At 44.3% G+C, this 22,811-nt stretch overlaps 1 long non-coding RNA gene across 2 annotated transcripts; it reads left to right on the top strand.

The window, feature by feature from the left end:
• Positions 1-10,655: 10,655 nt before the first annotated feature.
• On the top strand, positions 10,656-21,831 carry LOC105379208 (uncharacterized). 2 transcript variants are annotated; one of them, XR_948846.2, is made up of 4 exons: positions 13,936-14,443; positions 16,774-17,150; positions 21,004-21,194; positions 21,280-21,831. It is a non-coding gene; the product is annotated as an uncharacterized LOC105379208 (long non-coding RNA). The 2 variants fall into 2 exon arrangements; XR_001751427.1 differs by lacking the exons at positions 13,936-14,443; positions 16,774-17,150 and adding an exon at positions 10,656-10,745.
• The last annotated feature ends 980 nt before the right edge of the window (positions 21,832-22,811 follow it).

Raw genomic sequence — 22,811 nt, 5'->3', positions numbered from 1 at the left:
CCTCAGCCTCCCAAAGTGCCGGGATGACAGGCGTGAGCCACCTCGCCTGGCCCTGGATTCTGTTTCTTAAACTGCAGGGAATACTAAATACTTTACATGTGTATGTTTCTCATTTCATTTTCCTAAAGGAATTGGAGAGTGAGTTGTTGAGATTCTTTTCATTTTATTTTTTATTCTCTATGGTCCTCATCATGCAAATGGCTAAATGGTTTTTTTTTTTTTTTTTTTGAAACAGGGTCTTGCTCTGTCACCCAGGCTGGAGTGCAGTGGTGCGGTCTCGGCTCACTGCAACCTCTGCCTCCCGGGTTCAAGCGATTCTCCTGCCTCAGCCTTCCTAGTAGCTGGGATTACAGGTGTGCACCACCGTGTCCGTCTGATGGTTAAATTTTTCCTAGAGATGAGGTTTTGCCATGTTGCCCAGGCTGGTCTCAAACTCCTGAGCTCAGGTGATCCCCCCACCTGGGCCTCCCAAGGCGCTGGGGTTCCAGGTGTGCAGAGGGCTCTTTGTCTACACGCATCACTGGATTTTCTACCCACGGGGACAGGAGTGTGACCACAGCGAGGTGGTCAGGGAGTTGTCACCGGCGGGCACTGCAGCCCAGAGATGATGATGGCTCTAGGAGTTTGGTTGTGGAGCACAGATGCCAGCGGTGTGGGCACGTGGCCCTGCACCTGTGTTTCTCCTGCACAGGCCCCAGAACCCCAGGATGGGATCTCTGTGCAGTGACGAAGTCAGTGGCCTCTTGGTGAGGCTGAGGGATGGGAGTCGGCAGAATCCAGGCTGGGCCCCCGAGGCCTGGCTCCCTCACTGCATCCCTGAGGTCCCACAGCCTGGTGACAGCATGACTGAAGACCACACTCCAGTCAGGTGGCCAGCCCCACATGTGACCCCGGGTCTTGGCTCCCACTCCTGACCCAGGGTCCTGGCCTTCCACGTGTGACCCCGGTTCCGGCTCCTGTCCCCGCCCCCTCTGTCCCCTTTCCCCTCTTTCCCCAACACCCCTTCCTCTCTCCCAGACACCCCTTCCTCTCTCCCCGGCACCCCTTCCTCTCTCCCCGGCACCCCTTCCTCTCTCCCCACCCCCCGTCCCCCCCTCCTCTCTCCCCATCCCCCCCTCCTCTCTCCCCGTCCCCCACTCCTCTCTCCCCGACCGCATCTCTCCCTTGAGTCCTTGAGTGGTCCTGGCTGCACACCTACCTGGCTGGCCCCATCCTCTCCAGGGCAGGGACAGCCGATGCCCCGCACCTCCCCCATTGCTTTTCTACCTCTGCCCCCTCCCCACATAGGCCTGGTATCCCTTGGACTCCTGTAGGCACCAGCCGTAGTCTTAAGAAGTCAGTGTGTCCCACAGCCCTAAAAGGTCAGGGTACCCCCTGGCCGTCATTTCAGGGCAGCCTATAGTCCTAAATGGTTGGGGTACCCCACATCCCTGATGTTCAGGGCACCTCACAGTCCTAAAGGATTGGGGTACCCCACAGTCCTAATGTTCAGGGCACCCTGCAGTCCGAAAGGGTTAGTGTACCCCCAGATGAGGGGCGGTCAGGAGGGTCAGGGCCCAGGTGGACTTCCTGTCATCCCACCCTGTGGGGCATGCCCTGTGTCCCTGACTCTGACATTTGGTGAGGTGAGTACGGAGCAGGCTTCCGTGGCACATTTTTTTATTTATTTAGAGGTAGAGTCTCGCTCTTGTCACCCAGGCTGGAGTGCAGTGGTGTGATCTCGGCTCACTGCAACCTCCACCTCCTGGGTTCAAGCCATTCTCCTGCCTCAGCCTCCCAAGTAGCTGGGATTACGGGCGCCCGCCACTACGCCTGGCTAATTTTTATAGTTTTAGTAGAGACAGGGTTTCACCCTGTTGGCCACGCTGATCTTGTACTCCTGGCCTCAGGTGATCCGCCTGCCCTGGCCTCCTTAAGTGCCGGGATGACAGGTGTGAGCTGCTGTGCCCAGTCCCTGAAATGCTGAAATGCTCAGCCCATACCCTGAAATGCTGATGGCAGGAACCTCTGCACTGTTATGGCTCCCAGAGCTCATCTCATCCTACTCTAGACACCAGCCCTGTCATCAGCCTCCTCCAACTCACTAGTGAGTGCTGAGTTCAGAGGAATTTGTTTTGACCCTCAAGAGGGGTTAAGATACACTGATAGGCTGGTCGGGTCAGGCCTCTCAGATGTCACTGGTGCAGTGGCCCTACCTGCCTAGACAATTGAGAAGAATCATTTTACAATGATTTTATAAGCATTCATGGTGTTGCAGGGACTGGGCTATGACCTTTGTGGTCCAGGATGCTTAGTGTTCTAGCAGAGATAGATGGGCTATGAAACAGTTACAGTGCAGTGGAGTAGTTGTGATATAGCCACTGCCAGGATATTATGGAAGCATGGTGGAAGAGCTTCTAACTTTTCTGTCTTTGGAAAAGGTTCAGGAAAATTCATGCATGAGTGCTTGCATATATATTTATGCACATATGTGCACACACAAGCATGTGCATACACACAAACTCATGCTTGATGGTCTGGGTATGTGCTAGAACAATGACCCTATCTAGCTAAGGTAGTGGGCCAAGATTAATCATTCCATCCGTCTATCTACCCATCCTTCCATCCATCCACCCACCCATCTACCTATCCATCCAGGCGTCCATCATTCTATCCATCTATCTACCCATCCTTCCATCTATCTACCCATCCTTCCATCTATCTAACCATCCATCTAACCATCCATCCAGGCATCCATCCATCCATGCATCCATCCATTTCTTATATGCTTACTATGTTACAGGCTCTTTTAAGGATTCTTTACTTACCTGATTTCATTTATTCCTCTCAATAACTTTGAGATATGAATTATTAGTCTCATCTTATACATAAGAAAATTAAGACCCAAGAAGTTTGGTTGCTTGACCAGGGTTACACTAGTACACTAGTCAAACAGCTGGCCCAGGCTTCTCATCCAGATCTGAATAATTCCAATCATATGTTCTTTTAATCTCTTCTGAATTCCCCATACTGTGTTCAGAGGAATTTGTTTCAACCCTCAAGCGGGGTTCTGTTCTCCCCCATACTGAAAAACAGAAAACTGGATTTTCCAGGTACTAACAGATATTCAATACGCATAGCTTCTCCTTCTCTTTTAGGGAATTTAATGGGCAAATTCATAGTAAAGGCTCAGAGAAGTCCTGTACTATTTTCAGTTTAATCCAGCATTCACTGATTATGATCATCATTATTGGATCATGAAATTTTTGGTGGCAAAATACCCAATTCCATGACAGTTGGAAGAGTTGCTTTACCCCCTCATCTGACCTAAGACCAGAACAAGTACTTCTGTCCCTAAGCAAGGTCTTTTTTTTTCTTCAGGCAGCAAATAATGATTTGACCTTAAGCCAACCAATAATCCAACCCCTTGCATCTCTGTGACATTCTTCTTCCACATGCCCTTCAGCTCCGTTTCTTCCCTGAACTGCAGGATGTCTCTGCAAAGCGCAGAGGGTGCAGGGGCTACTGGACCTCCAAGAAGTGATGGATTTGGTCTCCAAGTTGATCCCTTAAGAGATGGCTGCTGCCCTTTGTGGGTCTCATCACTGCAATCTTCTCATCCTATCTCCTGGCTCTGAGTCTCAAATGTTTACTGGCCCAGGGCAAGGACCCATTCCCATGGTATTCTAGATTCATGCCATCCATCTCCGACTGCACTGCTGGGTGGCAGGACAATGGCTTTGCATCTGTGCTTCATCCCACAGAACCCAGCTTCTGCCTCAGGGAGGAACCAACTGTACTTATTTCTCTAGATTCTTTTCCTCCTTCTTGTGGTTCTTTCTAAAAATAGAGACAGACTGGCATAACCAACCAGCAATGAGCACTCCTGTGCCCGGAGGGATTTTATTTGTTGCCCCAGAAAGAGAAACTGCTTCTCCCCACCTGGAGCCAGGACCCAGGAGCCAATGGTGACACAGTAGTGCCTTCACCTGAGCGAGCCTCTCCACTCTGCATCCTGCCCCACATTCCGGTCCCTGGTCCCACCCTGGTCCCGCCACCCCCCACCCCCCACCCCGCTCAACCAAAGAGCGCCTTTGCAGCAGCTGGCCCCCACCCTCAGCTTCTGGGAAGTGATCTCCATAGAATGCCCTGCCTGATGGGAGTGTCTTTGTTTGCCTTGGGGCTTTGGCCACTGGACAATCTAACGAGATCTATGAAGGGGGTTTTGAGCCACATTGTATCAGGTCTACCTCCAGAAGGGCTGGTGACTGAAGGTCAACCATGCAGGTGGTATGTGATCAAGCCTCAGTAAAAACTCTGGACACAAGGCTTGCATGAGTGTCCCTGGCTGGCAATACTCTGAACTTACTGTCACATGCCGATGCTGAGAAAGAAACACTGTCCTGACTTGATGGAAGGAGGACACCCGGAAGCTCTGCGTTTGCTGCTTTCTGGGACCCCACCCTATGCATTTCTTCCCTTGGTTGAAGAAGGGACCTGCATCCCTTCCCTGTAATAAACCATAACCTTAAGTACAACAGACTTCAGTGAGTTCTATGAGTCCTTCTAACAAATTATCGGGACCCTTGAATTTGCAATTGCTGTCAGAAGTGTAGATCAAGTTCCCACACTTCACAGTTGGTTAGCTCTTTACAGTTGGCCTAAAATTTCAGTGTTAATATTGATTAATAGATAAATAGATGGCACCTCTCCTGGTGTGGTCATTGTTAATCTGGTACATTGACCTAATGAAGACTCCTAGTTCATGAAAAGATTAAACCTAGTAGTCAGCTTCTAGGATTGTATAAGCGTGAGTACAAATTGCCATGGTTCCAGGGTCACAACTTTTGGAAGTATTGATAGCTCTTTTTAAAAAATGTTTATTTTTATTTCAAGTTCCAGGGTACGTGTGGAGGACGTGCAGGTTTGTTACATAGGTAAACGTGTGCCATGGTATTTTGCTGCACCTATCAACCCATCACCTAGGTATTAAGCCCAGCATCCATTAGATATTTTGCCTAATGCTCTCCCTACCCCCTTCCATCTCCTGACAGGCCCCAGTGTGTGTTGCTCCCCTCCCTGTGTCCATGTGTTCTCATTTGTTCAGCTCCCACTTATAAGTGAGAACACACGGTGTTTGGGTTTTCCATCCCTGGATTAGTTTGCTGAGGACAATGAATTCCAGCTCCATCCATGTCCCTGCAAAGAACATGATCCCATTCCTTTCTATGGCTGCATAGTATTCCATGGTATATATGTATCACATTTTCTTTATCCAGTCTATCATTGATGGACATTTGGGTTGATTCCATGTCTTTGCTATTGTGAATAGTGCTACAATGAACATACATGTGAATGTATCTTTGTAATAGAATGATTTATATTCTTTTGGGTATATACTCAGTAATGTGATTGCTGGGTCAAATGGTATTTCTGGTTCTAGATCTTTAAGGAATTTCCACACTATCTTCCACAATAGTTTAACTAATTGACATTCCCACCAACAGTGTAAAGCATTCCTGTTTCTCTGCAACCTCACCAGCATCTGTTGTTTTTTGACTTTTTAATAGTAGCTATTCTGACTGGTGTAAGATAGTGTCTCATTGTGGTTTTTGATTTGCATTTCTCTAATGATCAGTGATGTTGAGCTTTTATTCATATGTTTGTTGGCTGCACGAATGTCTTCTTTTGAGAAGTGTCCATTCCTGTCCTTTCCCTACTTTTTAGTATTTTTTTTTCTTATAAACTTGTTTAAGCTCCTTGCAGATTCTGGATATTAAACCTTTATCAGATGGATAAATTGCAAAAATTTTCTCCCACTCTGTAGGTTGCCTGCTCACTCTGCAATAGTTTCTTATCATGTGCAGAAGCTCTTTGGTTTAATTAGATCTTGTTTGTCAATTTTCACTTTTGTTGAAATTGCTTTTAGCAATTTTGTCATGAAATCTTTGCCTGTGCCTATGTCCTGAATGGTATTGCCTAGATTTTCTTCTACGGTTTTATAGTTTTGGCTTTGACATTTAACTATTTGATCCATCTTGAATTACTTTTGGTATAAGGTGTAAGAAAGGGGTCCAGTTTCAATTTTCTGCATACGGCTAGCCAGATCTCCCAGCACCATTTATTAAATAGGGAATCCTTTCCCCATTGCTTGCTTTTGTCAGATTTCTCGAAGATCAGATGGTCGTAGATGTATGGTCTTATTTCTGAGTTCTCTATCCTGTTCCATTGGTCTGTGTGCCTTTTTTTGTACCAGCACCATGGTGTTTTGGTTACTGTAGCCTTGTAGTACAGTTTGAAGTTGGGTAGCGTGATGCCTCCAGCTTTGCTCTTTTTGCTTAGGATTGTCTTGGTTATACAAGCTCTTTTTTTAGTACCATATGAATTTTAAAATAGTTTCTTCTAATTCTGTGAAGAATTTCAATGGTAGCTTAATGAGAATAGCATTGAGTCTACAACTTACTGTGGGCCATTTTCACAATACTGATTCTTCCTATCCATGAGAATGGAATGTTTTTCCATTTGTTTGTGTCCTCTCTTATTTCCTTGAGCAATGGTTTGTGGTTCTCCTTGAAGAGGTCCTTCACTTCCCTTTGTTAGCTGTATTCCTAGGTATTTTATTCTCTTTGTAGCAATCGTGAATGGGAGTTCATTCATGATTTGGCTTTCTGCTTGTCTGTTGTTGGTGTATAGGAATGTTTGTGACTTTTGCACATTGATTGTGTATCCTGAGACTTTGCTGAAGTTGCTTATCAGCTTAAGAAGCTTTGGGGCTGAGATGATGGGGTTTTCTAGATACAGGAGCATGTCATCTGCAAAGACAATTCAATTTCCTCTCTTCCTATTTGAATATCTTTATTTCTTTCTCTTACCTGATTGTCCTAGCCAGAACTTCCAATACTATGTTGAATAGGAGTGGTGAGAGAGGGCATCCTTGCCTTGTGTTGGTTTTCAAGGGGAATGCTTCCAGCTTTTGCCCATTCAGGATGATATTGGCTGTGGGTTTGTCATAAATGGCTGGAAGTATTGATAATTCTTAATGAAGACAGAAGCTAGGAGTTAAACAACCTTCCTCCATGCACCCTCAGTACTTGGTTCATGCTGTTGCCATTACGCTCATCACGCTCCACTCTATGTCATGTGACTCAGTGCATATGACTGTGAGCTCCCTGAGAGAAGTGATCTTACTCACCTTTCACTCTGACAATCAGAGAAGAAAATAACTCACAAAGTGTCTGATGAATTGCTGATCTTTTGCAGACATAAGCAGTTGTGTCCGTGAATACATGGTTATTACAACCCCATAAACAGGTTCTCTTTAAACTGTGAGCCCACATAAAACTTTACAAGTCTCCTATTCCTCTCTAAGAAGATATTCAAAAGGAAAAATCAACACAGAGGCAGCAGAGCATACTGCCAAGAGTACACGTGTGGGATTTGGAAACCATGGTTCTAGGATAGCACCATATTCCTATGTGGCTGCATGATCTTAGGCAAGTCACTTGACCTGAGACTAGGTCATCTCATCCATAAGGCAGTGAGAAATACTGTACCCTCTCGCCATGCTACAGTAGGTAATAATTATAAAGCATGTACTATTAAATAGTTCAGATTCCACAAACATTTTCTAAGCATCTGCTATGTGTTAGATACTCTGGAGGGCACTTCCATGCCACTGTTCCATGCCATGAAGTCCTCATATTCTGGCATTGAGGGGTAATGGGAAGGGGCTGGGAGTGGGAATAGAGATGACACAAAACTGGGAGCTGGCAATTACTGAAGTTGGATGAGAGAAAATGAAGTTTCACTACATTGTTTTCCCTATTATTTCATGTTTTTGAAATGTTCCACATGTATTAATTTTTTAAATTTATTTATTTTAGAGATGGGGTCTCACTCTATTGCCCAGGCTGGAGTACAGTGGCACAATCATAGCTCACTGCAGCCTTGAACTTTTGGACCCAGTTAATCCTTCCACCAGAGCCTCCCAAGTAGCTGGGACTAGAGGCTTGTACCACCATTCCTGGCTAATTTTTTAAAAAAAATTTATAGAGATGAGGTCTCTTTATGTTGCCCACGTTGATCTCGAACTCCTGGTCTCAAGTGATCCTCCTGCTTCAGCCTCCCAGAGCGCTGGGATTACAGGTGTGAGCCACCACACCTGGCCAAAACATGTATTTTAAACAATCCTCTCAACAATTATGTGAGGTGGGTCTCCATGGTCTCACTTTACCCATGGAAAACCAAGGCTCAAAGTGACAGAAGCCTGAGGTTTCCACAGAATGTTAGAGGCAGAGTCGTGTCTAGAGCCCAGGTTCCCTGCCTCCATGCAACTTCACACTTCCCACCTCCCTAGATTGTGATGCATGGCTGGCACCTGCCCTCTCAGAAGCACACTTGACCTCAGAAAGGTGCTCCTCAAGGTAGAGGTTTGTGTTTACAAGAGGTAGACCACTGTAAGCAATGAGGGGAACAGCTCCCCACCTTCCTTTCCAGTGCTGGGACCTCTTTCTACACTCATTATGAAAAATTCAAGAAATATGGGGGTTCCTCAAAGTCACTATCATCATCTGTGGACATCTGCTGAGTCCCCAAAGCACTGGGCAGGCATTGCTGAAGCATGCAAAGGTATACATAACACACAGGGCTTCCCACAGCAACCTCCTCCAACCCATTCACAATAAATATTTTTAAATGTATTAGCAAACTCTGCCGAGACAAAAAGCTCATTGCAACAGTCTTTGTCCTCCAAAGGAATTGCTCTACAGTAGAAAGAAAGAGAGGTTTTCTCATCTCTTCTGCAAGGGAAGGAACTGTGGGGGTGGGGGGGCGGGGGGAGTGGTGTGTGTGTGTGTGTGTGTGTGTGTGTGTGTGTGTGTGTGTGTGTGTGTGTGTGCGTCTCAGGGCAGAGGGGGCAGGTTGAGCTGAGCACAGAGAGAACTACGCTTTTCTAAAGCCACCCAGGGACATGCCCATATGTAGCTCTGGGGCTGGTTGCAGCTTGCATTTGTTTGGAAGTTCAACCCTGGGATGTATACAATTTTCCCCAAATAACCCCTTGGAGGGAAAAATAACACAGTGCAAATGACAATACTCGAAAGCCTAGAGATATACTCAGCCATTTTCTTTATGATGACCATATTTTGCCAAAGTCTGTGTCCTAGAAGTCTCTCCCCATCCATTAATGTAGTCACCCAATGGATTGCTTTTCCTTCCCATGTGTTGACTTTTCCTTCAGCTCTTGCAGCAACACATTGCTTGGCCAAACCAGAATACACCAGGGAGCTTGGAAGATATTGCCCAGTCACCTCTGCAACCTCAGAAACTCCCTCTGGTGCCTGTGGTGTGACACGCCACATCCACATAGCATTGCACATGGTGATCCCTAGGTTCTCGCTGAGGACTGGAAGGGACAGCCTAAAGGTTTCATCCAAGTTTCCACCTTCAGCTCTATCTTGGTCTGCAGGTCAACTGACTCTTCAAGCCTCCATTCCCCACCGCACCAATTCCCCACAGCACTGCCAAGGTTTTTCACAGAGCCAAGAGATAATCAGCAGAGCAAATGCTAAACCCAAAGCCATGCCCCCTACCCTCCAATCCAGGGAAATGTAAAAATATATCAACTTTAAGGCCCTGGAAAAAAAGTCAAAACCAAGCTCTATAATTGTGGCCTGTTTACAAGGCGTGCTGAGTTGTTGGTGCATTCTCAGAGAGGCTGTTCATGCCTCATGGAGCCAGGGAACTATGTTAATGGTAACAGAAGTCTTCATGTTCTGCAGTCTGTGCCCTTCTGAACACCCTTGGTTTGAAAAGCAAAGTCCTTAGGTTGGAGAATCAAATTCACAAATGCCTCCTTCAGTTCACTTTCCTTCAGTTGAGTTTGGACCCAGAGTGTGGACCCATGGAGGTCAGCTACCTGGTTTAAGGGAGTCAGCTCGTGTGTGTGTGTGTGTGCACGTGCATGTGTGTGTGCACATGTGTGTATGTCTGTATGCACACATATTTTCACAAATAAGAAAGTAGAGAAAGCAGAAGAGATCCAATACAGTGAAAAATCTCTGCCCAGTGACCTGGCACTGAGGAATATCATCCACCCCAGGCAAGAATCTAGAAATGAACAATTTAAGGATAGTGGGAGCACTTAGAAAAAAAACGAATGATTAGGAAGAGCCAACATCAGTATAATAGAACAGGTAATACCAACGTGACTTTCTTTTTGTTTGGAAGTTCTACATAGTATTATGTCTGGATTTTAGGAGGCCCTTCCCACGAATTAAATTTTTAAATGGGTAATGTATTCCTACGGTTCAACAAAACCCAATATATCCTTGGGGAGGAATCTTCCTCCCATCTATGTCTCCATCTGCCCAGGTCTCACTCCTACCTCTCCACTCCCCATAGGTAACCATGATTATTAATTTCTTGAATAAGCTTATGGATGTCATTGTGAACATGGAAGCAAATACAAATGTGTGTGCATGTTTATTCTTATTTTCTCCCTTTTTTATGCAAAAGGGGCACACTGAACCCCTTGCTCAGCAAGGCTTTTGTGGGGGGCTCATGCTAGTTTTGTGGACAAGAAATGGGGACTAGATGACACCATGCAATAGCAGGCATGTGACTACTTCAGTGCAGAACTAGAAGTGGAATCTAGCCTGCTGACTTTTTGTCCTAGGTCCTTCCCGTTTGTCTCCTGGATCTGTGTTTGCCCACACAAGGGAGTACTTAAGAAGCATTGGCAGGCTTCTGGGAAGCAGTTTGTCCTTGTAAGTGGTTTAAAACCTCACCTTGACAATCTTGCATATAGCACTCATTTGCTTGGTAAACCTTTTTTCTCATAGATCATGGAAAGGTAAACTTTGAGCCCTTTGCTCTTCAAGTGAATAAAATGGCCTAACTGTACTAAAGCTTTATCCCAGTGCTTGGTTCATAGTAGCCACTTCATAAAATAAACATTAGTTGAATCTGAATGATCACTACATTCCAATTTAATGTACTTGGATTAAAGAGATTCATCCTAAAGAGACAGGGAATTGGATCATTTCAGAACCAGTCCCGTGATGGTTTACTTTGGTAGCATAGCCCTTCTCAAGCCAGTGGTCACTTCCTATTCTCCTGCCAGAGAAGCAGAAACAACAGCTTTCTTTGTATTCAGTATTGATTTGGGGGATTGCATGGGTCCTTATGACTACCTGCTGGCAATATTCAGTCCAGCGCATGGACAAAGCTGACCTGGAAGAGCAGGGAGTCAAGGGAGGTCAAGAGACAGGGCAAGGCTTGGGGAAGGAGTGAGAAGTCCTCTTCCAGGGCCAACTTTCCCAATCCTCTTCTGGTTCTCTGAGACCACCCTCCTCCCCTTTTCATCTCTGAGGCATCCTTACCAAACAGCAGTTCCTCTGCTCTGACATCGGCTTGATCTTTAAGGCTTGCCTCAGTCAGATGCAAAAGAGGGTGATCCCATAGAGAAAAAAATATTTAGCTAAGATTCCAAAAGTGAGGGCAAATCCCTGGGAATTTGCTGTTTTTGAAGTAGACTACTACCACTCTCCACTATAGGTAATTTTAAGTTTGCAGTAGCTAATGGGCAAAGGAAAGAAGAGTAAAATAAAATTGTCATGGGATGGTAACTTCCTACATTAACCTGCAAGGTATCCACCTTTTCCAGGCCACCAGAGAATCTAAGTTCAAGTCCCCAAACAGGGAACTGGGCTCTCATCCTAATTCTTCCTTAAGGAGCCAACACAGTCATTACCTCCACATAAACATGTCAACTCTCCCCACGCGCAACCATGAGAAATCTCTCCCAGCCAGCCAGAATGGAAGGAACTAACAGCTTTTGGCAAGCAGCACGGTCTCACATACAGAAGGTGGCTGGCATGAGGCTTGCACTCAGGTCACAGCCTTCTATCGGCTGTCGTGGCCACCTCTTCCTAGAAGAAGCTCTCCCCAGGAAAAGCACAGAATTCTGCTGGGTCACAGAGCCCCTCAGGTGTCAGTTCCAGCCACTCCCAACACACTTCAGGTGGGCCACCTTGACTGCAGTGGTTATGATTGCTGGGTTTGAATCCTGTCTCTGTCACTTGATTCTGGATCATTATTTCAATTCTGTAAGCCTCAGTTTCCACACCTGTAAAACCCTGTCCCCTGGGGAAGTTGTGAAGAGTAGAGGAAATTATCCTTGCAAAATGCTTAGCAGAGTATTGGTAGGTTGTTAGTGCTGAATAAATAGTACTTATTTTATCATCATCATTACGGCTCTTTGGAATCCACAGCCTGTAAGGTGGGGGGCAGTACTGCAGCTTGAAAGCTAAGGGATGGGCGGTTGAGTTGCCCAAGGTCACTCTGCAGCCTTACTGCAATGAAAGTTCCATAGAATAGGGGTGTTGTCTGTTGTGTTCCCCAAACCTACAACAGTTCCTGACCTTCCATCACTATAAGCTGAATGAATGAATAGATGGATGGATGAATGAATGTAACTGAGAAGCTGGAGTTTGAGCCCAGGTCAGTGTGACTCCATGGTCAGATGCTACACACTTCCTGCTCCATTTCCACAGACACACACACATATCCTATTTGTCCTTGTAAAACCAGCATATTCCAAGAGTTTTCTGCCAGCTGCAGCTCATCATACCCATCTTTTCCCATCGTCCTTCCATAACACACACAGTCTCTGCCACACAATATAACAATTTATTAGACCTCAAACTCTCTGGGGGCAAAGACCACTTCTTAGCCACTGGACTTCTTAGTCTCAGTCTCAAATCAGGCTCTTAAGAAGCAATTTCTGGTTGGCTGGCTTCTTTTGGGGGAAAGGGAACCAATTGTCACCTCCTCCAGACCCTCGTATTTCCAAACCCTAGCCTTTCTTATAGGAAAGAGGAAGGGAACTCAACTTTACATTTGACATTTTTCACTGAGGAGCCACACTTGCCCTTGGCCTCCTAACCCAATCCCTTGCCTCGCTGTTGTCAGTTCTCCTATAAGCAAAGAAGCAAAACCTGGGGAGCAACAGGGAGGGATGAGCAGGGGTGACTCAACCGGGGAGGGATAAAACCACATACCACAGAGAGTGAAAACTCTGTGCTCAGCAAAGAGGAGAACTTACTCAGCATTTCCCCTAATCCTCCCTCCAGAAGCACGACTGCCAGGAAAGTTCACAGTGTACTATCTCCAGCTGGGAACCCGAAAGAAGCAGGAGGACTGTAGGCCACAGGTCCTGGGCACCATGTGTTTCCCCCGTTCCTACTCCTATTCTTCCCTCTCTGTCCAGCAAACCTGCTTGTTTCTGTCACCTGCCCTCCTGCCCTTGGGGTGACAATGGATGCCTTGAACACTCAGCAGAGGGATGCTCTTTCAGAGGAGGAAGAGTCTGTGCGATTGATCTGATGCCTGAGCAGGAAAATCACCCCTGAGAAGAGGCTCTGAGACAGAGGGTAGCCGTGGTTCCTACCCCTTATATATGTGGGGCTCCTGGCACATGCACACTTCTCCTCAAACTCTGTTTAGGAGAACAATGCTGGGTGTTGTCAGCCTCTCTCCTCCCTACATACTGCTCTGTCATCAGCCTGAGCACAATTTCCCCATGAAAGGCGTTAATCTGTCTCTCAATTAGATCAACTTTTTACATGTCTTTGATGGATGACAGTTTTTCAGTGTCAGAATCTAGAAATAAGAAATGGGGTGATGGGGACAAGTGAGCTCGGTGTGTCTCACCAGGATGTTCCCTCTTATTCCAGGTGTCCTGTCCCAGGTGCAGCTGCAGGAGTCAGGTCCAGGACCCATGAGGCCCTCAGACACTGCCCTCCACCTGTGCTGTGTCTGGGTTCTTTTTTTTACCAGTCAATATTATTTGAGCTGAATCCACCATCCCCTAGGCAACAGATTAGAATGGCTGGGGCACAGTTACCAGGAATACACATCATTATCACCAAGCTCATCATCAAGATCACCAAGGAATACACATCATGCACCCTTTACCCAGGTCTGCATCTCCATCAACAATGACTCAACCAAGAGCCAGTTCTTTCTGAAGCTCAGCTCCATGGCTGGCTAGGACACGGCTGAGTATTACTGTGAAAGACTCAGTGAGGAGGTGTCCTTGTGAGCCCTGACACAAAACTTGCTGTCAGGGCACTGAGGACCGCCAGCAAGACTCAGGACCACAAGGGGGACTCAAGACCACCAGGGGAAGAGCAGGTTGCAGGAAGCACAGGGCCAGCCCCAGAGCAGGTGTGGGTGGAGATGAGAGGCTGGTTTACTGCCAGGGTGTGGGGCTGCCTCTACATCTACATGTTTCCTCCAGGGACCCTCCCTTATTTCATGATGCTGTGCCTAGCTCTACGTCTCTGAAATACCACAGTTTTGTTGTACCAGGAGGAAACCTTCTTACAGGCACTAAATGCAGAACAATCCCTCTGCCAGTGGTCACCAGGGCCACAGCCCTGTGGAAGCTGAGTGGAACCCGGTGAGTCTTCTCCAGTCACACTCAGGACAGGGACCTCAGTGGGGTTCCCTGAAGAAAACAGTATTTAGGAATTCTAACCTCAGCCAAGAGAGAGGCTGGGCCAGGGTCAGGGTCACGTAGAACCTCACAGGTTTTATTTCTGACCCTTCTTCTGACACTAAAGTATGCAAATCAGTATCAGCGCTGATCAGGGGCTGCTTTTGCTCCTAGCACATTCTATTTCTTGTTAGTTGTTTTAGTTGTTGATTTTCCTTTTGCTGTTCCTGATCCCTGTAAAGTGGAGATGTGGTTCTTGCTGTAAAAAGTCCACTGCTCAAGCCCTTTCCCTGCAGCTCAGGTGGGGCTCAGACTGTGGCTCCTGCAGCCACGTGGGAGAGGCTGATGGGACTTCCTTCTCTCCCGTTGCTCAGAACCCTCCACTGTGTTGTGTAGAGACTCACTTGGGAATGCAAGTGGCCAATAGTTGTGAAGAGGATGAGCTTGTGTGGTCAAAATGGGATGTGGATATGGAATTTATCCTGTGCTGTTCAAGCTAACACAGGGTCACCTTCCCCCCAGTAGTGTTAGAAAGAGAGTGGGAAAGTTGTCAAAATCAAAATGGAGCCACTTGTATTAAAACTCTGACAAATGAAACTAGGAGTGACCATGAAGGAGGGTTCTTAAGCCCATATTCCTGATAACAAGAACTATCATAAATATACTCTGCTTAACCACAATCTTGGGAAGAAGACACCACCATCTTATAAAAAAATTACTTTTGCAAGGACATCATCCCAGAAACTGCCAGTTCAACCTTACACTGATGCCACCCTTGGTATTGATTCTACAACTACAGGATCGTTCTCTCAAAACAACTTTTGTAACCCATCCATTTTCACTTCATAAACCTGTGAATTGACATCCTGGAGTTACTGCTGCATTTGTTGATAACGTTAAATAATAAGGCCTTTTGACAATGTTTGAAGCTGCTTTTTTCTGATGTCTCTTCTAAAATAAAGAATTTCCAAGTTGATGACAATAAAAAGATAATTAGGAAGATTTGGTGGGAAGGCATCTTTAACATCCTGTTGAATGCTTCTGCATAGCACGTCAATCCCCTAGAATGCTTTGCTACATCTGCATTTAATGAATCGGAGTCTAATATTGAAGATGTAATTGAAAATAGGTGGGCTTTTGATGAATCAAGTCATACGGTGATAATGTTTGTGTCCTTGAGAAAGCAAACCCTGTGTTGTAAGTTTTAGCAGATGTACCTTCAGCAAAAAAGTTCATGTGTTTCTGAATGTTATGCAACTTTTAACTTAAGGATGCAACATATGATTCAGTTTTACTTAAAACTTTCCAGAAGATTTTTGGCAGTAAGGACAGTGCAGCATTTGAGTAACACTAAGGAGCTAAAAAGAGTTATTTTGTAATTGCTCCTGTGAGGTATGCACATCGCTCACTTAATATTGAAATTCAAATGCCACAGATGGGAAAATCAGAATAAGGAAAATTTTATGAACTGGCATGGCTGTAGTTTTTGTCAAGCAAGTAATTCATGTCTGCAAGAAAATAAATACAACAATAAAACACATTCAAATCCAGGGGGATGCTGACCTCTGCCCTCTATATTACAAGTACAAGGTGGTATCACATCCAAATTATTTTTCAGGCTCCAGGGTATAAAATGCTTTTGGACGGTGAAGTTAACACCTCTCCCCTAAGGTGTGGCTGAGGTATGTGGGGAATGCAGAGTTGTGTTCATGAAGAAGATTACATTATTGTTATCTGGAGACAGCTCCCCAGGGTGTGTCTCAGATGTCAGACATGGGTCTATAAGTCAAGCAAAGAGAACATGTTGAGTCCAAAAATCAGCATATTCTTAGAGGCACCCATTGCTCCATCACATGGGTGAGAAATTTTTGAGACTAGTGAAGTGTGAGTTCACAGTAAGTGATGCAGTTATCATATTTCCATGAACTTTCATTAACAAGACAAGGACTTCTCTAGATCACTCATGCACAAATATACAAAATGTATTTTTGCATTTGCGAGTGTCTAGAGAAAAAGAATCTGTTGAGAAAACTTCTTCAGGTTACAGAGATCTGTTTAAGTTGGAGATCTCACAGGAGTGTGTCTTTGAGTGAATACTGGCCTATTAATTAAATAGGTCAAAATTCCCTCTGTTGGAGTAGCCTTCCGATTATGTAGATTTCTTTATTGCTTCCTGAGTTGTGAAACATAAACCCAAGCATTGACTTACTGGAATTTGACTGCTGTGTTGATAAAATTTCTGATATGGTTTCTTCCAATGATTTAAGAATAGCTTTCCCCTTTCTTTACTCCAGGAAATGAATTTTCACAAGGTCTCAGGACACCATTTTTCAAGTGCTTTAGTTAAAGAGACTGACTTCTTGGTGGGCAGGCCTCTTCTAACAATGAGCTCACTTCTGCAAAGCATTCAGTCTGTGGCTTTATTGCCATGAATCATGAAGCTTTCACACTCCGATGCACTAAAAATAATGCCTCTTCAATTAAATATCTATTGGCATTGCCATGAATTGGCCACTCTTGGATATGTGTCCTATGTTATGAGCCCAACATGTCAGTGGACTGAGAATCCTCTATTAGCTACCTCTGTGTGTAGCACTGAGCAGACTAACAATCCTCAGAGTCATCTAACAAGGAGAGTCCTGAGGTTCATGGGATTCTTGGAGACATTCAGGTGAGTTGAGAGGAGAAACAGGATTGTGGGCTGCCAGCCATTTCAACAACAATGGGAGTCATTACCATCTAAGTGTAAAGTCTACATCATTCAAAATATCCTCCATGACAGGCTGATAAGAAGAAATCCAACCACACAATGGCTCCATGGCAACTCTTTAGTATACTTGGGAGTGAGGCTTTTTTCGGGAAGAAATATCCACTCCAGTGTGTCCCTGATGCTGCTCTCAACTAACGTAAACAGTGGACTGGAACCAAGATTCTCTGAGATTAATGTGAGGATTAATGCTGCTCCAATGTGTTTAAACAAGCATGTGGCAATTTAGATGAGCCTGGCTGTGTGGTTTGTTATATGTAAATCTGAACTAAATAAACAGAAAGGGCATGTCTGAACTAGTGTGAGGGTGAGAGATCTCATAGACCCCAAACTCATTTATATTTCCTCCTGGAACCTCCAGGTTCTTTGGGTGAAAATTGACATAGATCCTTTCCTGGATAAGTCATCAAAGTTCCTACTCTCTGAGAAATACACAGATAAATATATCCAGATAGAACATACAGGAGAAATACATATCTAGAACATTATCTATGTTGGCTAAGGTAGTCCATCTCCATTACAGACCCCTTCAAGCAGCCTTCCTTTATCACGAAAGTGGATAAAATTAGCCAATAGAGAAATAATCCTATAATGTTGTAGCCAGAAAAAGGAAAGTGTCAGTTCCATTTCTGGAGACTCTGTGTATAGGCCACAGCCCAGAGAAAAAAAGATGACTGAATTATTAAGATTCAATTGTAAGAACATATAATACTTCCAGGATGCACGTTTTGTTTTCTCAGCAGGATAGTTAATCTGGGTTAAAGATGAAAGTGTGACAATGCGCAGACTCTATCTGAGGAGAACATAGGAAAACTGAAACACAATGGCAGAGAATATGACAAGGACAGTAGGGAAATCTGAAGCCTCTGACATATATTTTTTGAAGAAAAGATATTGGCAAATCCATTGACCTCAGATTCTTTTATCATAGGGCATTTGCAGGGTTCCTAGCTGAGAAAAAAAATGCATGCACTTGGCCGGGCACTGCGGCTTACGCCTGTAATCCCAGCACTTTGGGAGGCCAAGGCAGGTGGATCACGAGGTCAGGAGATCGACACCTTCCTGGCTAACACGGTGAAACCCCATCTCTACTAAAAAATACAAAAAATTAGCCAGGCAGGGTGGCGGGCGCCTATAGTCCCAGCTACTTGGGAGGCTGAGGCAGGAGAATGGCGTGAACCCGGGAGGCAGAGCTTGCAGTGAGCCGAGATCGTGCCACTGCATTCCAGCCTGGGCGACAGAGCAAGATTCCATCTCAAAAAAAAAAAAAATATTCATGCACTTCCCAAGTCTCCACTTGTATTCTATTTGCCTTAGATCTCTAAGACAAAAAAGTGGGTGAAGGATATGAACAGACACTTCTCAAAAGAAGACATTTATGCAGCCAACAGACATGAAAAAATGCTCGTCATCACTGGCCATCAGAGAAATGCAAATCAAAACCACAATGAGATACCGTCTCACACCAGTTAGAATGGCGATCATTTAAAAGTCAGGAAACAACAGGTGCTGGAGGGGATGTGGAGAAATAGGAACACTTTTACACTGTTGGTGGGGCTGTAAACTAGGTCAACCATTGTGGAAGACTATGGCGATTCCTCAAGGATCTAGAACTAGAAATACCATTTGACCCAGCCATCCCATTACTGGGTATATACCCAAAGTGTTATAAATCATGCTGCTATAAAGACACATGCACACGTATGTTTATTGTGGCACTATTCACAATAGCAAAGACTTGGAACCAACCCAAATGTCCATCAATGATAGACTGGATTAAGAAAATGTGGCACATATACACCATGGAATACTATGCAGCCATACAAAAAGATGAGTTCATGTCCTTTGTAGGGACATGGATGAAGCTGAAAACCATCATTATCAGCAAACTATCGCAGGGACAAAAACCAAACACCGCATGTTCTCACTCATAGATGGGAATTGAACAATGAGAACACTTGGACACAGGAAGGGGAACATCACACACCGGGACCTGTCGTGGGGTGGGGGTAGTGGGGAGGGATAACATTAGAAGATATACCTAATGTAAATGACGAGTTAATTGGTGCAGCACACCAACATGGCACATGTATACATATGTAACAAACCTGCACGTTGTGCACACGTACCCTAGAACTTAAGGTATAATAATAAAAAAAAATAAGCCTAGGCCTAGTGTCAGTGTAGGAGGCAATTTTTATAGGCTAGAAACTAAGAAGAAAGAAAAATATGTGTTATTGGAATAGTAGATACAAAGTTGGTTTTATTCTGAGTGTATTTGAACCTGCAGGTATTCTTAGATGTAACATTCAACTGCAAGAGCTCAAGGACGAAACAAGGCACTCCCAAAATCCTACAAGTTTTTGTATTCATTTCGTGTCCACTGACTCAGGAAATGTGAAGTTTCAGAGAAGGTGTTCCACTCTGTGTCATAGAATATTTGCTTTGGGTCTCCCTGTAGAGTTAAATAGGTTTAATAAGGCTCTTCAATTCTTAAAAGACATGGTGTCAGCAGTACATTGTGTCACTGAAGGAGTATTCAGTACATTGTGTTACTGAAGGAGTATTCTAAACCAGGACACACCCACTTCATGCTGAGCTAGAGACTGTGGGGTAAAATGCCTGTGAGCTACAACAGAAACCTCATGGCAAGGCAAGGGCTCGGCTGGAGGGGGCACTTGGGAGCCACCAAGCACAAGTTCCAGCCCCAGAGCAGGTGCACAGGAGGCCGGGGAGGAGGTTTTCTCTCAGGGCCTTGGTCTTCCTTTGTCAGGAAAAAAACAATCTAAAATAACTGTTCAAGAAGTAGCTGACGTGCTTTAAATATTCTAGTACATCCAAACCATTCATATAACTTAAGATAATGAGAGCTATTTTTTAAAGTGAGTTTCTAGGACTGTAATATCTTAATAGTGAGAATATGAAGGATGGGCATGTTTTTACTAATTCAATGGGTACCGATTAGTTGAAGAAACTATATTCCTATGAATAAGAAATTCAGATTTCAGTGTTAAGTAATGTTGCCTACATTGTGTGAATGACAGGGCAGTGATGGATCTGAGGGTGTGGCAGGTGCACAGACCAAGTGAGTCAAAAATCAATATGTAAAGATACAGATCTATGGATATGAACTGGAAGTATGTAAATACTTTACAAAAATCTAATAAATGGAGTTGAAAAGTAACCCAAAATTATTCAAAACACAAATTCATTGACAATTATTTTGAGAGTAGAGAGTTCATAAAGAACTTCAAACTCCTGTTACCTCTTCTGATTCCCATTGTTCCTGAGATGAGAAAATCAGCTGTAATTATGCATCACAGGGCAAATACGTAAAACAAGAGCGTTTCTATTGAAGATCCTGGGGGATCAGGACATGAGGCACGTGCTGGAGACACTGTCTCAGGAGGGCCCAGTAGATCTCAGAGGGACATCAGCAGTCACCTTTCCAGAGTCACCAGTGAGCTGTGCTGGTGCCTGACAGGTCCAGGATAGGGCCAAGGCACGTGCTCAGTGTCATAGACAGTGATGGTCCCAAAAATAATCCAGGCGGCCTCTATACTAATCACATGTAGGTTCACAGTGAGGAGCCTGTTCTGAGAGGGCTTACTCTTCAGTGAAAGGACCTCTGTACACAAATGTTGGTAAATAGAGCAGGGCACGCATTTTCTCAAGTAAGATTAGGGCTTAGACCATTTGCATCTCACTCTTGTAAGGCTGATGTGTCATTTATCTTCCCTTTCTTATCATGTATCAGGCTTTGAGCTATGAAATCGTCTGTCTCATGAATATGCAAATAACCTGAGATGCACTGAGGTAAATATGGATGTGTCTGTGCCCTAAGCGCATCATCCAACAACCACATGCCTCTTCTGCAGAATCTCCTTAGAGCTCAGTGCCTCACCGTGGACTGGACCTGGAGGAACATCTTGGTGGCAGCAGCTACAGGTAAGGGACTCCCAAGTCCCAGTGATGAGAAGGGGATTGTGTCCATTTCTGAAAGATCTCATCCACTACTGTATCCTCCCCACAGGTGCGCACTCTCAGGACCAGTTGGTGCAGTCTGGGGCTGAGGTGAAGAAGCCTCTGTCCTCAGTGAAGGTCTCCTTCAAGGCTTCTGGATACACCTTCACCAACAACTTTATGCACTGGGTGTGACAGGCCCCTGGACAAGGACTTGAGTGGATGGGATGGATCAATGCTGGCAATGGTAACACAACATATGCACAGAAGTTCCAGGGCAGAGTCACCATAACCAGGGACACGTCCATGAGCACAGCCTACACGGAGCTGAGCAGCCTGAGATCTGAGGACATGGCCGTGTATTACTGTGCGAGAGACACAGAGTGAAAACCCACATCCTGAGAGTGTCAGAAACCCCAGGGAGGAGGCAGCTGTGCTGGCATGGAGGAGATGACAAAGATTATTAGATTGAAGACTTTCTCAGAAAATAACATTAAGTCACTAAAGAAAAGGAACAATATAAATGTGTATTTGAGAAATTTTAATTATTTGAAAGATTTTTCATACAACATTTATTCTGTAAGCAAATTTCAGGGATTGAATTAATAAAACTGATACAGAACTTCCTTTGTAGGTATCTTTGTAAACATCAATTTCTGAATCACTGTTGTAAATATTTTGGAACACACAAATGAATCAAATTTTAACTCTACTTTTATCTCTATTTTAAAAATGCCCCCCAAAACCTCATTTTGTGCATGTAGCATTTTGAATTCCCACCATCAATGCATGATGGTTCTTGATTTTCCACATTCATATTGCCATTTTTCATTATGAGAATTGTGTGTTTTAAACATCCTAATAGGTGAGTAATGGTATCTAATTTTTATTTACACGTACATGTCCCTAATAAAAAGTTCCTACTTAAAAATGTTCAAATAATCTTTGGTGAGGTACCTTGCCTGAGATCTAGTTCATTTTTAAATGCATTGTTTTCTTTTGATTAGTTGTAAGTTAACTTGCATATTAATTATAAAAGTGATTTAACAAACTAAAATAACTCATTTAACAAATACGTGACTTGGAAGTATTTTCTCCAAGTCTGTGGCTGTCTTTTACACCCTTAGCGTGTATTGCAGAAAAATATGTGTGCATGTTTATACCAATTTAGATTTTAAAAATGTAAAATTTTATTCATCCACAGATCATGTCTTTGGCATTATATCTGAAATACCATTATAAAATACAATAATAGTGATTTTTTTTCCATGTCTCTAATCTCAGGCCACAATCAACTCATGAGTGTTTAAGCTTCACTCACTTGATTACAGGACTATCAAGCTAACATATTTGGAATACTTCTGCAAAGAGATGTGTTCTTCTTCCCATTATTTATTTATTTAATAATCTATTAATATCCGTATTAGTTTACGGATGTCTATTTCATGCTCTGAAGATGATCCTTGCTACATCATTCATTTTATTGTTCATGTCACCACAGCTTTATTAGGTGCTAGGAGCTCATTTAGTTTGGATCCTGCATCCTTACAGCACACCTCATCCTTTTGTTTTTGAACACTTCCCTGTTTCCTGATATTACAA

The sequence above is a fragment of the Homo sapiens genome, chromosome 15 (genome assembly GCF_000001405.40).
Source record: "Homo sapiens chromosome 15, GRCh38.p14 Primary Assembly".
Lineage (NCBI taxonomy): Eukaryota > Metazoa > Chordata > Mammalia > Primates > Hominidae > Homo > Homo sapiens.
This window is presented reverse-complemented; position numbering and strand designations above follow the sequence as displayed.